Consider the following 17,161-nt stretch of genomic DNA (forward strand, 5'->3'; position numbering starts at 1 on the left):
GAGTGAGACTCTGTCTCAAAACAAAACAAAACAAAAACAGACTGCCAATCTAGCATTCTCTCATTCATTAGAACCTGGAAGCCTCCCCCATCCCCATCCTCACTGAAAGGGATTACAGCCCAAATTTCAGTTTATTTTCACCATCCAGGGCTTCTAATCTGTTACCTTTGAGAGATAATCCTATAAAATGCGGCAGAATGTAGATTCCAAAACCTGCAGAGATTACATTTTATGGGAGGGGAATTATCTCTGTGATCCAATTAACACAGCAAGCGACAGGGGAAAAACATAGGCTTTAGATTAGTGTTGGGGGGAGGAATCAGGACATTCTGCAAGTTAATTCATATTAACAGGTTCAAAAACCTCTGAAGTACATTTATAATTTCCTAAATCCTAATCATTAATCTGCATTGTGAACTGATAGCCTTTGGAAAGAATATTACAACTATGAATCATATGTTTCTTGTTTTGTTTTGTTTGAGACAGTTTCACTCTTGTTGCCCAGGCTGGAGTGCGGTGGCTCCATCTCGGCTCACTGCAATCTCCGCCTAACAGATTCAAGCGATTCTCCTGCCTCAGCCTGCCGAGTAGCTGGGATTACAGGCTCCCGCCACCATGCCCGGCTAATTTTTTTGTAATTTTAGTGGAGACGGAGTTTCATCTCGTTGGCCAGGCTGGTCTCAAACTCCTGACCTCAGGTGATCCACTTGCCTCAGCCTCCCGAAGTGTTGGGATTACAGGCGTGAGCCACCGTGCCCCGCCAAATCAAATGTTTTTAATGTTTGCAATTTTCTTTATGAATGTCCTAGTTTCCTTCGAAAGTTGAGTACATTTCTCCTCTCAAATGATGAGTTTATAATTCACATTTCCCTCTTCATCTTGGCTACCAGGAAGCTTTGAATCAGGTTAAACACACATCAAGATAATCAAATCAACATTTGGCAGGTGATTCCCAAATTCCTAGGTGTGGGAATTTATTTATGTCATATAGATTAGCTAAATAAACCTTCCCCTCTCAGTGGGTCACTTTTGTCATCTGTTGAGCCAAAATGAAATGGTCACTATCAAATTCCCTTTACAATCTTCCCAGGTCTCCAGGCAACTTCCTGTCCAAGTTCATGGTCGTAGCTGCTGAGAATCAAGGTGTCCATCAGACGGTTACTCTGCCTTCCCTTTCAGTATCTCCTATGCTAATATGATCAATAATTATGCAGAGGGCAATAATATTAAACTGCTTTTACCCCCTGAAGGAAATGCTTATGTGCTCAGGATTGCCTGCATTTTCTGAGTATATTCCAAAATCTCTGAAGATTTTATTCATGCAAGTTAAGTGTGACCTTCAACTAAACTCAAATCTATAATTTAAAGTGGCCTCTTTGACTCAAAATCCTCTCCATTTCAATGCCAAATGGATCATCAGCTGCTCTCCAAGTAATACTCGCTCCAGAGGAAGGTTCCAGCTACTGATCGACACACATTTTTGCATTTCTACTCACAGACTTAAGTTCTGCTCTCCAATATGTGACTGTAGCTTAATTGACGGAGGAATGCAAAAAGAGATTTGGAGGCGTCTGACTACTGTCGACTCACTGACTTCCCTCAGAGAATTCTTTCACTTGTCTTTTAAATTTTCCTTTCTTGTCAAAATTGCAGGTGCAGATAAATGCTGGAATCTTATTTCAATCAGAAAGTGCCAAGAACAAGAAAAGATGGAGAATTTTGATTGTCGTTGAGGACAGAGCCTCAAACAGCTGGAGGCCTTCCATTCTCTTTTAGCTTCCATCCATCTAAGAAAAAAAATGCACCAAGGATTTCACTCAATTTGTGCAGAAATATGAGGAAATTCACACTGAAATGAAGAACTGCATTCCCAAAATAGCGTTAACCTAGAACAGCACAGCACTGATGGGGGAATAAGAGACCTTGGATGTGGTGGGTCCAACCTTTGGTAAAAGGTCCAGGGGATGCCCCAGAAGGGATTCCTGTGTGACAGTTAGCTGATGATACATTGGCCTTTCCTTTCAGGGAAGCTTAGAGCCAGCTTAGGGATTCTCACCTCAGCCAGATTTTCTTTCTCCAGACAAATGTGTATTTCAGACAACTTCTAAGTAAATCTGGAAATGATTATGAAAAAGGAAAAATAAAATCCAACAAAAGCCTCTGACTTAGTTATCATTCAGAGTCTGTCCTCCAGGGTGGGTCTAACGATTTGTCCCAGGGTCCACCACAGAGCCTGCCCATGGACTTGCTGTGGTGGGTGTTTTAGGGATTTGAAAGGTTCTGTTTCCATGCTGTCTCCCAACTACTCTGGACCCAGGTCCTCAGCATCAGGGACTGTGTTTGATGGCTTATATATCTCCAGCCTCTGGCCCAACTGCTGGCATATAGTAGATGCTCAATAATGAACTGAAGGCTGGGCACAGTGGCTCACATCTGTAATCCCAGCACTTTGGGAGGCCGAGGCAGGAGGATGGCTTGAGCCCAGGAGCTTGAGACCAGCCTGGGCAACACAGGGAGACCCCATCCCCACACAAAAAAAATTTTTAATTAGCCATGCATGGGGGCCTGTGCCTGTAGTTCCAGCTACCTGGGTGGCTAAGGCAGGAGGATCAAGGCTGCCTCAAGCTGTGATCACACCACTGCACTCCAGCCTGGGTGACAGAGCAAGACCCTGTCTCAAAAAAAAAAAAAAAAAAAAAAAGAGTTGAAACGTAGCTCTTTGGTGAATATTTATTTATGTACAAAAACACTAGAATCGGCCAGGCGTGATGGCTCACACCTGTAATCCCAGCACTTTGGGAGACCGAGGAGGGCAGATCAAGAAGTCAGGAGATTGAGACCATTCTGGCTAACATGGTGAAACCCCATCTCTACTAAAATACAAAAAATTAGCCAGGCGTGGTGGGGGGCACCTGTAGTCCCAGCTACTCAGGAGGCTGAGGCAGGAGAATGGCGTGAACCTGGGAGGCAGAGACTGTAGTGAGCCGAAATCGCGCCACTGCACTCCAGCCTGGGTGACAGAGCGAGACTCTGTCTCAAAAACAAAACAACAACCACCACAAAAAAAACACCAGAATCTGTCCCCAGGCCAGACGTTAATCTTTCCCCATTTCTGGTCCTAATTTCCCCTCTTTCCCAGCTTTAGATATACTCTTAGGCATGTACGGTCTAATACGGTGGCCACCAGCCACGTGTGGCCACTGAGCACTGGAACTGTGGCTAGTCAGAATTGAGATGTGCTGAAATATACACAGAACCTCAAAGAGTTAGTGGAGGGAAAATGGAATATAAACTGTTTCATTAACAATATTAATACTAACTACATGTTGAAATGATTTTGGCTATATTGGGTTAAATAAAATATATTATAAAAATTAATTTCACCCATTTCCTTTTACTTTTTAAAAACGTAGCTTCGGGCCGGGCACAGTGGCTCACATCTATAATCCCAGCACTTTCAGAGGCCAAGGATGGAGGATTGCTTAAGCTCAGCAGTTGGACACCAGCCTGGGCAACAAAGTAAGATGTTGCCTCTACAAAAAACAAAAAATTAGCTGGGCATGGTGGTGCATGCCTGTGGTCCCAGCTGCAAAGGGAGGCTGAGGCAGGGGATTGCTTGAGCTCAGGAGGTCGAGACTGCAGTGAGCCATGATCATGCCACTGCATTCCAGCCTGGACAACAGGGTGAGACCCCACCTCAAAAAAAAAAAAAAAAGCTTCAGCCAGCATGGTGGCTCATGCCTGTAATCCAAGCACTTTGGGAGGCCAAGACAGGAGGATTGCTTGAGGCCAGGAGTTCAAGACCAGCCTTGGCAATGTAGCAAGACTACTTCTCTATACAAAAATAATAATAAACAAAATAAATAAAAATGTATCCTCTAGAAAAGTTTAAATAACCTAAGTACTTTGCATTGTATTTCTACTGGGCTGTGCTGGCTCAGACCTTACCTGGCTCCCATTCAGACCTGGCAGAGTCTACTGTGCCCCCCACTGACTTGACAAGCCTAGTGTCAGACCTGAGGTCCACAAACAGCTCCAGAAAGCCCCAGAAGCAAGTAGCAGAAGGCCACTCCAATCTTGCCGCCAGGCCACACCGTGCTCACGCAGGTCCCCATGCAGGACGTGCTTTGCTGCCCTCTGCTGGCCACGTCCCACTTCCCACAGTCCCCAGGCATTGGCCTCTCCTGCTGCACCCCAGGAGCTGTTCTCGCACTTTTCCTCTGCTTCCCTCTTCCCTCTTGATAGCAGTGTTTTTAAGAGAGAAGGTGGCAAGGAAAAGGGAGACTGCATCTTTTCAAAGGGAAAATGTGTTCTGGAAGAAGCAGTTTCTTTTTTAGATCATTATATATTTACTTCAAAAACGTAAAGGTATCCTGTAGTGTTCTTCACACTTCATTCATGACTTGTATCCTGTGGGGCATCCGTTAAATATACAAATTACCAGGCTTCTCTGCTGCAAATTCTGGGTCAGTAGGTAACAGTTGCAAGCCCAGGAATCTGTGTGTAACAAGCTCCACATTCTTGTCTCCCCTCCCCGGAGGAAGTTTGAGAAATACAGCTAGGAAGCTGTGCATCTTGAATGTGGAGATGCTCAACTGGACACCTGGGACCTTGTTAAATCCTGATTCTGATCCAGTAGGTCCAAGTTGAGGCCTGATAGCCCACACCTGTAACAGGCTTCCAGCTGCTGCTGCTGCTGGTGTTGCTGCTACTGCTGCCTAGGGCCACCCTTTGAGTAGCAGGGTTGTAGTTATTCGGGGTCCACACCCTCAGCTGTAGCCTTAACTAAGCACACCCTTGCTATTTAGAATCACTAAGCACTCTTGCTGCCCACCACTCCCGCCAAGGCTGCTCTAAAGAGCAAATTCGAATGATTTCTTTTGTCTGGAAAAGCAAGGATGCCCCCTTTTGACAGCTCAAAATATTTTCTGTAAAATGCCTGGAGAGGAATAGTAGATGTATTTTCTCCCAAAACAATGTTTTTTAAATCATTATTGGTAAGAAAGAATTCATTTCTCTAATAAACTGTGTAGCCCTGTGTGTTGAAACCATGTAGAGACCCTGGCCATTTACATTACAAATATGATAGGGAGTGACTGAGTGCCACTATCTAAGAGGGTGACCTCTGAAGATCGTCCTGAAGATGAACCACGCAGGGAGAGCTGGGGCTTGGGAAGTGAGAAGTTGCCTTTGAGACCTGTCCGTGGTGTCCAATCTTTAAACTCAAGCTTCTGTCTTTAATTTCCTAACCCTTTCCTGCACTGGTTTCCAGCAAACATTTTTACCTGCTGTCAGATCGAACAGTCCTGCTGGCTCAGGTTGTCACTGCTCCTAGCTGTGCCCTGTGATTCTCTGGAAGTTTGTGGGTAGAGACAGTGGATGGGGAGGGACTCTATTCTATCAGCTTTGGTTAAACTCTGCATTTGAAACTTTCTCTTTTTATTTTTTTATTTATTTTTATTTTATTTATTTATTTTTTTTTGAGGTGGAGCCTCGCTCTTTCACCCAGGCCGGACTGCAGTGGCGCGATCTCGGCTCACTGCAAGCTCCGCCTCCCGGGTTCACGCCATTCTCCTGCCTCAACCCCCCCCGAGTAACTGGGACTACAGGCGCCCGCTACCGCGCCCGGCTAATTTTTTTGTATTTTTAGTAGAGACGGGGTTTCACCATGTTAGCCAGGATGGTCTCGGTCTCCTGACCTCATGATCCGCCCGCCTCGGCCTCCCAAAGTGCTAGGATTACAGGCGTGAGCCACCACACCCGGCCTTTCTCTTTTTAAAGATGAACTTTGGATTTACCCAAGGTTATGCCTTAATTTCCCAAGACATCATGAGACTGCACCATAAACTGTGCAATTTCCAGACACCGATGAAATTGCATTCATGAAACAGAGCCCTTTGGCAGGGGGAATCTTAAATGATCAAAATGTAACATACGCGCGCTAGTGGATAAAAATTATCTGACCATTCTGTTTCTGGCTTAATTTCCAAGAGCTCAGAATATGAGTCTAACTTCTATCTACACAGCTTACATGATGGCAGATTGGTGCTGACGGAGTTGTTTGTTTTCTTTTGTCTTGTTTGAAGGCCAAGGATATAATACATTTTTACAGTTAATACCTTCCCATCCTCACCCCTGAATTTTCAAAATACTCCTTCGATAGTTAGCTATATAGCTGCCATTAAAGTCAAATTTCCTTAGATGAGGAAGTCACTGAATGCCTAATTACACATGCAATGCTGGAAAAAACATTAAGACTGCATTTACATTGCCAGCTTTCTTTTCCCATTACACAACAGAAGATTTATCCTTTCATCTTGTACATGAGCGTTGCTCTTGCAAGCTTGTGATTCCATGTAACATATATTAGTATATCATTCACTATTAGCACCAACCTTGACAATCTGGAAGTTATGCCTCTCTCAATGTTATATATAGTCTTTCTTCTGAGCTAGAAACAAACCAAACCAAAAATAATCACCAAATCCCACATCCTGGCTGTCACTTACCCAGACAGAGTGACATTGCAACATCCCAGGGCCCCACAGATCTCTTGTGAGCTGTGTGGATTCTTGCCATGGGCTGCACCCACATAACTATCAAATGCAGTTCACTGGCAGAAAGCCCATTTAAACCTTTATCCAGTGGTATGCTCGGGGTTTTTTCTGGACAGGTTTCTTCTGCCTGTGGAAATAAGTGAGTGCTCCGTGATCAGTCACTATGCAAGGATCAATCTAGGTCCTGCTGAAAGTGACCCAGGAACACGTGTAATGAATGTGTATGTACATCTGACTATGTTAATTTTCAAACGCTTAGACTTTGAAACATCCATGCAGTTTGAACAGAAGCAAAGCCCAATACCTACATTCTCAAACTCCAAGGTCAGAAAGTAACTAAAGAAAAACTGCAACCTTGAATTGGGCTGCTGCCAAGGCCTCAGGTGTGTGGGTGTCACCTGGTTTTCCCAGATGTCAACAGAGAGACAGGATTTGATAGATAGATAACTTAGTCCGCAACTCTTGGGAACTGCTACTGCAGTGCTTGGACTGCCTACCAATTCACATTGCTAGCAGGTTCCCAATAAACGCAGCTGACAGACTGTTGAGCTGTGAGGCAGGTCTACTGGGGGAACAATTTGCTGAGTGGCCCAGCAAACGTCATCATGTCACACGGAGCCTCAACAACTCATTTGGGGAGTGATCCAACTTCCAACTCTGTGCCTCCCGCGATTCTGCCAGGAGAAACCAAGTCATGACAATTCAGTGCCCTGAGCACTGGCATGAGAGGTCTGGGGCTGCAGACTGGGGCCTGAGAGTTCTCTGCTTCTCATAGCTGCTGTCACACATGGCCCCAGCTTTCACTTCCCAGGCTCCTCATGCGAGTCCTATGATTGTAAGAGTGGGAGTAAGAGCTGAAACCCCAGGAGAGTCTTCCTGGGATTCAAAGAGTAGGATGAATCCTCCTGTTGGGTGGCACCAGCCAGCACTGTCTCCTTAGAGCCTGGGCATCAGCTCATAGCCCCATTACAAGGAGAGATGCCCCAGAGACAGATTCACTAAGTCTCTGGGGTTCTTCTCAGGCCTGGGGCTGTGCCTCCCTAGAGTGACATTCATGACCCCTGCCCAGAAAGCCAATTTGAGGACCGCTATGTCACAAGAGTGACAAAGGCAAATAACATATCAATATTTTTGTGCAAATACAGTTGTTTCAACCTCCTGGACCTCCTGAAAAGGTCTTAGGAACTCCCAGAGGTCTGTGGACCACACTTGGACAATCCCTGACCTGTCTCATGATTCTGCTTTTTTTTTAGAGACGGAGTTTTGCTTTTGTTGCCCAAGCTGGAGTGCAATGGCACGATCTCAGCTCACCGCAATCTCCATCTCCTGGATTCAAGCAATTCTTCTGCCTCAGCCTCCCGAGTAGCTGGGATTACAGGCATGTACCACCACGCCCAGCTATGTTTTTGTATTTTTAGTAGAGATGGGGTTTCTCTATGTTGGTCAGGCTGATCTCGAACTCCTGATCTCATGTGATCCACCTGCCTCGGCCTCCTAAAGTGCTAGGATTACAGGAGTGAGACACCGTGCCCGGCCATGATTCTGCTTTTATCACCTTGTCTCGTGTATTTGTTTGTCTACTTGGCATCCCCGCCACCTGGCTATAAGCCCTATAAAAGCAATCACTTGGCCTTTTTCTCCCTTGTAACCACAGTTTCAGGAGTGAAAAAGAATGCTTGGAACATATATGTGCATAGTAAGTGTTTGTTACATGAATGAGTAAATGACTGGGGTAATGTAGCAAAATAGACCCTCCCAGGACCAGTGCCAGGATTTCTGTGATCACACAGGTAGAACACATTACATAGCACCTGCAGGGTACATGGTCTGCACTCAATACGTGTACTCTCCATCTTGGCTGAGAAGTTGTTTGCTGATGGACTGAATCCTCCCCGTCCTGACAGCCTTCATTGGCCAGGTCATGGCTAGGGATCTGGGTTCTTGCAGCCCCTTCTCAAGGAAAGATCCCAGAGAAATCCTGGCTGCTCCTCAAGCACAAGTACACCCCCGAAATAGGAGTGTGGCAGAAATTCCTCCTTCCCGCAGCTGGTGTCTCTCCAAACTCAACCAATGTCCAAGTCCCCCAGTGCTGACTGCAGTTGGCTCGAGTCAACGGCTGCTTAATCTGAATCTCAGTGTGAAGCCAAGAAGAGAATTAGTAGAGCCAGAAGATGAAGTCATTATGGTCTGGTCTTATACAAACTTTTTCAAAAGTCAGTTTTATGGGCTCTTTCCTGATTGGCATGTCCTTCCCAGTCTACACACATTTTCCCGACAGAATGTCCCTCTGCACTCCCTAAATCTACAATACAGGCAGGTCACCCTTCCTCTGTCTTACCCGCTCTGGCCAATTCACATCAGACAATGGTAAAAATAAAATAAAATACAGGGAGGACATGTACTCTGACCACAGAGCTCTCTTAGTCAGCAGGTGTGAGTTTCGCTTTATAAACTCAGGATACAAAAAAAATGCCACATTGATTTTCTAGGCACTCATCCTGTCTGGTGGGATATTCAGCACCAGGTGTCATGATGACACCTTTTCCTTGGCAATGGCCACGGTGGTCATTACTTGGAGGAGCCTTCTCCAGGGGAATGAAGACCTCAAGGAAGCAGGGAGCTATCTTGTTTGTTTCTTTTCTTTTCTTTTCTTTTCTTTTCCTTTCTTTTCTTTTGTTTTTGAGACAGAGTCTCGCTCTGTCACCCAGGATGGAGCGCAGTGGTGCAATCTCAGCTCACTGCAACCTCCGCCTCCTGGGTTCAAGTGATTCTCCTGCCTCAGCCTCCCTAGTAGCTGGGATTACAGGCACCCGCCACCAAGCTTGGCTAATTTTTGTATTTTTAGTAGAGACGGGGTTTCACCATGTTGGCCAGGCTGATCTCGAACTCCTGACCTCAAGTGATCCATCTGCTTCCGCCTCCCAAACTGCTGGGATTACAGGCGTGAGCCACTGCCCTCGGCCAGAAGCAGGCAGCTATCTAAGGAGATGGAGACTGATGAGGAAAGGAGCTTTTTTTAGGTGGGATAGCCAGAGAAGTCTTCTTTGAGGAGATGGCATTTAAGCAGATATGTGAATGACATAAAGATCTGCAAGGAAAGCATCAGGCAAAAGAAGAAACAAAAAGATCTGAGGAAGGGCAGAGCTGGGCATGTCAAGGAAAAGCACAAAGGCTGGTGTGACCAGAACGGTGTGAGAGTGAGGTTAAGAGGGAGGTGGGGACCTGTCTTTGTTAAGCCTTGTAGGCATTGGTAAGCAGGTGGTTTCATCCAGAGTGTGATGGATGCCATTGGATGGCTGTGAGTAGGGGTGACCTGGCTGACTTGCTCTTTGTAAAGAGCACTCTCAGCCAGGCACGGTGGCTCACGCCTGTGGTCCCAGATACTCAGAAGGCTGAGGCAGGAGGATTGAGCCCAGGAATTTGAGGCTGCAGTGAGCTTTGATTACACCACTGAACTCCAGCCCAGGCAACAGAGTGGGGCTCTGTCTCTAAAATGATAACTAACTAAAGAAATAAATAAATAACACTCTCACTGCTATGCAGAAAATAGACTGCAGGTATGGGAAAGGAGCAAGAATGATGGCAGAAAAATCAGAAGACAGGAGCCATGACAGGAGTCCAGGTAAGAGAGGGGTGACTTGGACTAGGGGAGCAGCAGAGGACATGGTGAGAAGAGAAGTCGTTTGACCAAGATTTGTTTTGGATTTCTTTTTGCTGGTTTTTTTTTTTTGGTGTTTTTTTTTTTTTAATTTTTTAGGGTCTCACTATGTTGCCCAGGCTGATCTTGAACTCCTGGACTCAAATGATCTGCCCACCTCAGCCTCCCAAAGTGCTGGGATTATGGACGTGAGTCATTGTGCCTGACCAACCAAGATATATTTTGGAGATGAAATTGGGTGATGTCATTGGATTAATGTAGGTGTCAGGGGAATAGCCTAACCAAAGATGACCTCTGGGTGTTCAACCCAAGCAAAATCTAGGTGAATCTTCGTAGTATATACTGAAATGGAGAAGACTGAGGTAGGAGATTTGAAGGATAAAAGCAAGTTCTATTTTGAAGAGATCCAATTTGAGACACTTATTCGACTTCCAATGGGAAGTCTCAGATAGATGGGTAAACATATGCAAGTATGAAGCTCCAGGGTGTTGCACAGGTTGGCGCTGAAGATATGTACCATTGCCTATGTTATCCAGGGGGATTGGTTCCAGGACCTCCTGGGGATACCAAAATCCACAGATGCTCAAGTTCCTGATACAAAATGGTGTAGTAGGCCAGGTGCAGTGGCTCATCACACCTGGTAATCCCAGCATTTTGGGAATCCGAGGTGGGAGAATCACTTGAGCCCAGGGGTTGGAGACCGGCCTGGGCAATATGGCGGAACTCCATCTCTGTGAAAAATATAAAAATTAGCCCAGTGTGGTGGCTCACGCCTGTAGTTCCAGCTACTCAGGAGGCTGAGGCAAGAGGATTGCTTAAGCCAGACATGTCAAAGCTGCAGTGAGCCATGATTGCACCACTGTTCTCCACCCTGGGTGACAGTCTCAAAAATAAACAAAAAAATGGTGTAGTATTTGCATATAACCAATGCATATTCTCCTGTGTAGTTTTTTTTTTTTTTTTTTTTTTGAGACAAAGTCTCACTCTGTCACCCAGGCTGGAGTATAGTGGTGCAAATCTCAGCTCACTGCAACCTCCACCTCCCGGGTTCAAGTTATTCTCCGGCCTCAGCCTCCCAAGTAGCTGAGACTATGTCTCAGTATGTCATCATGCCTGGCTAACTTTTGTATTTTTAGTAGAGACAGAGTTTTGCCATGTTGGCCAGGCTGGTCTTGAACGCCTGACCTCAAGCGATCCACCCGCCTCAGCCTCCCAGAGTGCTGGGATTACAGGGATGAGCCACTGCATCTGGCTTGTGTACTTTAAATCATAGCTAAATTACTGATATGGTACCTAATACAATGCAAATGCTATGTAAATAGATGTTATACTTTATCGTTTAATTGTCATTCTTGCTATAATGACAAGAAAAGTCTGTACATGTTCAGTACAAACACATTTTTTTTCTGAATATTTTTGACCCACAGTTGGTTGACTCCATATACGCAGAACCCACAGATATGGACAGCCAATAGATATTGGCAAATAGATGGTATTTAAACCCACATGACCGTATGTCACCCAAGAGAATGTAAGTAGAGAAGAAAGAAAAGAACTGAGCCCAAGGGCACACAACAGTTAGAGGTAAGAAAGAGATGCCAGAAAAAGATACCGAGACTTCAGGAAAGACAGAGAGGGCTTCAAGGAGAAGGGATTAATCGTATCAAATCCTACTGAGAATTTAAGTAAGATAAGGCTTGAGAATTGACCAGTGGATTAGGCAAAGTTTTGACCTTGATAACAACAGTTTCAGCAAAGTGGCAGGGATAAAAGTCTGGCTGAAGTGGGTTCAGAGTATAAAGACCTCTGGGCTGAATGTGGAGGACTGAACAGCTGCATTTCTTTCTTTCCTTCTTTTTTCCAGGAACACGTGCACTTTATTGAATGCCATTGTAGAAAAGTGTGTGAGAATAAAGGGCTGATACAGAACTCAGGCCCAGGGTGCAGGGCCCGCAATGGACAGCGAGTACCTGGGCGCTACTGCTGGCCTTGGAGATTCTTTATCATTTGAGAAATTGCTTGGAATATTATCATAGAACTACTGGTGAAAAGGATGATGAGTGTTGTGGTCACACGGATGCCCAGGATGAGGGTGCAAACGTTCAGGCACTTGGCAGTGGAGGCGTAGGCCTGGGCCCCAGTCAGGTCGCCAACCATCTTCCTGTCCCTAGACTTCACGGAGTAGGTGAATGCTATGAAGCCCAGATGGCATCAATTCATGAAGAGAGTGTTGAACAGGGACCAGACGACATGGCTGGGCACAGTGGTCTCACTGTGGATGTGGATCACGGTGGATGTCGGGGGAACAGGGTTGTGGGGCACCCTCAGCACAGCCACCTCATGCTCCTCCTTGAGCATTTCATAGTTGAGGGGGTGGCTGGTGTTGGCGGGAGTGAAGACGGTTTGGACAGCGTGGTTCATCGTGTCCAGGGAAGATCAGTTGTGGTCGGGATGGTGGGATGGTTCTCCAGCTGCATTTATTTCTGTTTCCCCTTGAATTCTCACTAAAATGACAACAAAGGGTTTAAAATGCATAAACCTATGGAACAGAGAAAACGAGAGCAGTGATAGGAGAATACGAGAGATGTCAATACAATTTTGGAATCTAGAAAGTAGATGGATGAGGCCGGGCACAGTGGCTCACGCCTGTAATCACAGCACTTTGGGAGGCTGAGGCGGGTGGATCTCCTGAGGTCAGGAGTTCAAGACCAGCCTGGCCAACAAGGTGAAACCCTGTCTCTACTAAAATACAAAAAATTAGCTGGGCATGGTGGTGTGTGTGCCTGTAGTCCCAGCTACTCAGGAGGCTGAGGCAGGAGTATCCCTCGAACCCGGGAGGCAGAGGTAGCAGTGAGCCAAGACTGTGTCATTGCACCCCAGCCAGTGTGACAGAGCGAAACTCTGTTTCAAAAAAGAAAAGAAAAGAAAAGTAGATGTATGAGTTGTAAGTGACTCCGAAGCCTGAAGAAAATTGAAAGTTGAGGATCTATAGTCTAGAGGAGCAAGAATTGGTCTCATTCATACCAAAGAACCTCAGGAAGTTTCAGGAGTTGAAGGTACCAAGTACTTGGGAAGGTGAGGTTGCTAGAAGATGAAAGCAGGAATGAGTGAAAATCTTCATAGGAAGAAAAAGACTCCTAGATCTTCTCCTCACCCCCACACAGCTGGGTGACTGCCCCTCTACCACCCAAACAAAAGACTAGAACCTCAGCCAGGCCTGGTGACTCATGCCTATAATCCCAGCACTTTGGGAGGCTGAGGTAGGTGGATCATTTGAGGTCATGAGTTCAAGACCAGCCTGGCCAACATGGTGAAACCCATTTCTACTAAAATATATCTGTTAAAAATTAGCTGCACATGGGTGTGTGTGCCTGTAATCCCAGCTTACTCGGGAGGCTGAGGCAGGAGAATAGGTTGAGCCTGGGAGGCGGAGGGTGCAGTGAGCAGAGATTGCAGCACTGCATTCCAGCCTGGGCAATACAGTGAGACTCAAGAAAGGAAGGAAGGAAGGAAGGAAGGAAGGAAGGAAGGAAGGAAGGAAGGAAGGAAGGACGGACAGGAGGGAGGGAGGGAAGGAAGGAAGGACGGACAGGAGGGAGGGAGGGAAGATTGGGAAGATGATAAGAAAAAACAGGGTAAAAAGACCAGTTTCTCATTGAAAGAAAGAGGAAGAAGAAAGAACGAACGAAAGAAAGAAGGAACGAAAGAAAGAAAGAAAAGAAAGAGAAAGAAAGAAGGAAAGAAAGAAAGAAGGAAAGAAAGAAAGAAAGAAAGAAAGAAAGAAAGAAAGAAAGAAAAAGAAAGAAGAGAAAAGAGAAAAGAAAAGAAAAGAAGAGAGAAATATTGGGAGGATGGTAAGAAGAAACAGAGGGTAAAAAGACCAATTCCTTATGCCCCACAACAGGAAGTCAATATATAATACACAAAACCAAAAAATCAAGAAGTAGCAGTACATATGTTATTTGGGGAAAAAAAATAGAGTTAAAGAAAACCTGAAGAAACAGTTTAAAAATGGAAAGAAGTTGCTTTTGGGGGGAAGAAATTGGATACTCCTTTTTATTCTAAGCCTTGTAAAACTGTTCGATTTTAATTTTTTTACATATTTATAACTAGTTACATGACGTTTTAAAACAATACATGTACAGCTTTGATAAAATAAATTTTAATGTTTAAAAAATAAAGAGAAAGTAAGAGATGAGAGAGAGAAGACAAGTAAAGATGCAACAGGTCTATTGAAAAGTCTGGACTTGGTATAGACAGCAAACAGCTTTAATTTTCTTCCATTGTTGCTTTCAATCACTTTCCAATTGAATTTCATTTTCCTGTTACTTAATGAAATATTGAGCTGATTTCCTAACTTTCTGGTGACTTTCGACTACTAACTCTATCCCATTTTAAGTGCTAATCTCAATAATTTTAATCTCGCTCCCACCCACTCCCACAAGGCAACTGGCTTTTGGAGTTGGAGTGTAGACCCGGAGGAGTCTGTTCTTTTCAACTCCTGCTGCCAGTTTCCTGAGGTGGGATACCTGACCTTGGCTCAGACCTCTTCCAACCCCTCAGCTTCCCCTCCCGCTTCTTCCCTGACAGTCCTGGTCAGTGAGCTCAAAACCTTTCCCTGGGTTTCCTTGAATCACAAAAACGTAACACTCCCAACAGGGAGGACAAGCTGCCTGCTGCAGCCTCCGCTCTGCCTGACCGCCCCCCAGCTCCCCTGTCCCCCTCTCAGATGGGCAGAGGGAGACAGATGCCCAGCTGGAGAAAGGACATCATCTCCTCCACTCGCAGTCACAGGTGGATCTCTGGGACCCCCCACTTGCTTTACAGGAGGAGAACGAAGGGCACAGCTCTCCCCACTAGGCTGACAGCCAGTGTGATCCCTCTATTTTTTTCTTTTTAATATAAACTAAGGAGTGATAGGAAAAGTGAAGTGACAGCTGGGGGAAACAGAGACAGTTAAACCATCTTTTTTTTTTTTTTTTTTTTTTTTTGAGACAGAGTCTCGCTCTGTCGCCCAGGTCGGAGTGCAGTGGCGCGATCTCTGCTCACTGCAAGCTCCGCTTCCCGGTTTCACGCCATTCTCCTGCCTCAGCCTCCCGAGTAGCTGGAACTACAGGTGCCCACCACCACGCCCGGCTAATTCTTTTGTATTTTTAGGAGAGACGAGGTTTCACTGTGTTAGCCAGGATGGTCTCGATCTCCTGACCTCGTGATCCGCCCGTCTCTGCCTCCCAAAGTGCTGGGATTACAGGCGAGAGCCACCGCGCCCGGCCTAAACCATCTCTTAATACACTTCTTTGTCTCCAACTTTGGCCCTCATCATCAGTTCCAGGACCACAGAGAAAGTCCCACCCAATATGTCATTTCAGAATTTTTTGGAGTGTTGCTGTTGAGAGAAGCAGAGACATGGTTGCTGGAGAAGGATATGGGATCAGAGAGGCATTTCCTTAGTTTATTCCTTTCTCTTTCTTTCTTTTTACTTCTTCCTTCTTTTTTTCCTTCCTTTCTTTTTTTTAGGCTGCAATGTAGTGGCACAATCATACCTCATTGCAGCTTCGGGTGAGCACCAGCACACCTAGCTTTTTTTTTTTTTTTTTTTTTTTCATTACTTTTGTAGAGACCTAGTCTGACTATGTTGCCCAAGCTGGTCTCAAACTCCTGGCCTCAAGTGATTTTCCCATCTTGGCCTCCCAAAGGGCTGGGATTACAGGCATGAGCCACCATGCTGGGCCCAGGGAGGTATTTTCTTAACTGGGAAGTATTGCCACATATTTGTACACTGATGGGAATAACCCAGTAGCGGGGGGCAGACAATGACACAGAGCAAGGGGATGATTGCAGGAGCAAGTCCTTAAGCAGGCAAGAAGGGGTGGACCAGGGAATACACAGTGCCAGTGATAGGAGCAAGGATGGGACATTCATCGCAACTCTCCAGGAGGCAGAGCATAGGCGGCTACAAATGAAGGTACATTTGAAGATTCTGAATCATTCTCTGCTGATTGTTTTTATTTCTTCCGTGAAAAAAGGAGCCACAAGCCAAGTGTAGTGGCACACACCTGTAGTCCCAGCTATTTGGGAAGCTGAGGCAGGAGGGTGTCTCGAACCCAGGAGTTCCAGGTTACAGTGAGCTATGATTGCACCACCGCACTCCAGCCTGGGCAACAGAGTGAGACTCCATCTCAAAAAATAAAAATAAAAAATCATGCCCGTAATCCCAGCAGTTTGGGAGGCAGAGGCGGGTGGATCACTTGAGGTCAGGAGTTCAAGACCAGCCTGGCCAACATGGCAAAACCACATCTCTACTAAAAATACAAAAATCAACTGGGTGTGGTGGCACACGTCTATAACCCCAGCTACTCAGGAGGCTGAAGCAGAGAATTGCTTGACTTGGGAAGGCAGAGTTTGCAGTGAGCTGAGATGGTGCCATTGCACTCCAGCCTGGGCAACACAGCAAGACTCCATTTTGAACTCCTCACCTCGGCTTCCCAAAGTGCTGGGATTACAGGTGTGAGACAACACACCCTGCCGAGACTCTGTCTCAAAAAAATAAAATCATAAAAGACAAAAATTTTTAAAAAAACTTTAAAAATAAAATAAAATAAAAATAAAAAGAGACAACAGGAGCCAGGCCAACAGCTAAGAGTGAGAAGGAGAGAGGTGATATTGAAAGGTTGATGACAGAGGAAAAAGCTATAAGGTAGTCATTTCAAAGGGGGAGAGCAACTTGACCATGGCAATAAGCTGGACAACTGGACGAGGCTGTGGGCTCCTGACATTCACCATCCTATGTGGGCTTTTTTCCGCCACAGCTAGCTGCTCAGGTGCAGGCAGGGAATGGAGGGTGAGGGGTGCTAAGTTCATCAGAGTTGGGGTTTTGCCAGGGAAGTGTGGATGGAAAGAGAGGCAGGTGAATTGAATGTCATATCAAGGTGTGATGTCAGGGATG

At 45.7% G+C, this 17,161-nt stretch overlaps 1 pseudogene, besides 1 other annotated feature; it reads right to left on the reverse strand.

Moving 5' to 3' along the window:
- Positions 4,194-4,363: an enhancer, noted in NCBI's record as "active region_15816". NCBI's record gives its function as "activates an Ori minimal core promoter by ATAC-STARR-seq in GM12878 lymphoblastoid cells {active_cell/tissue: GM12878}" and the evidence as "EXISTENCE:reporter gene assay evidence [ECO:0000049][PMID:35858748]".
- IFITM3P9 (IFITM3 pseudogene 9) lies at positions 12,076-12,683 on the reverse strand (annotated as a pseudogene).

This window comes from Homo sapiens, chromosome 2 (assembly GCF_000001405.40).
Source record: "Homo sapiens chromosome 2, GRCh38.p14 Primary Assembly".
In the NCBI taxonomy this organism is placed as follows: domain Eukaryota; kingdom Metazoa; phylum Chordata; class Mammalia; order Primates; family Hominidae; genus Homo; species Homo sapiens.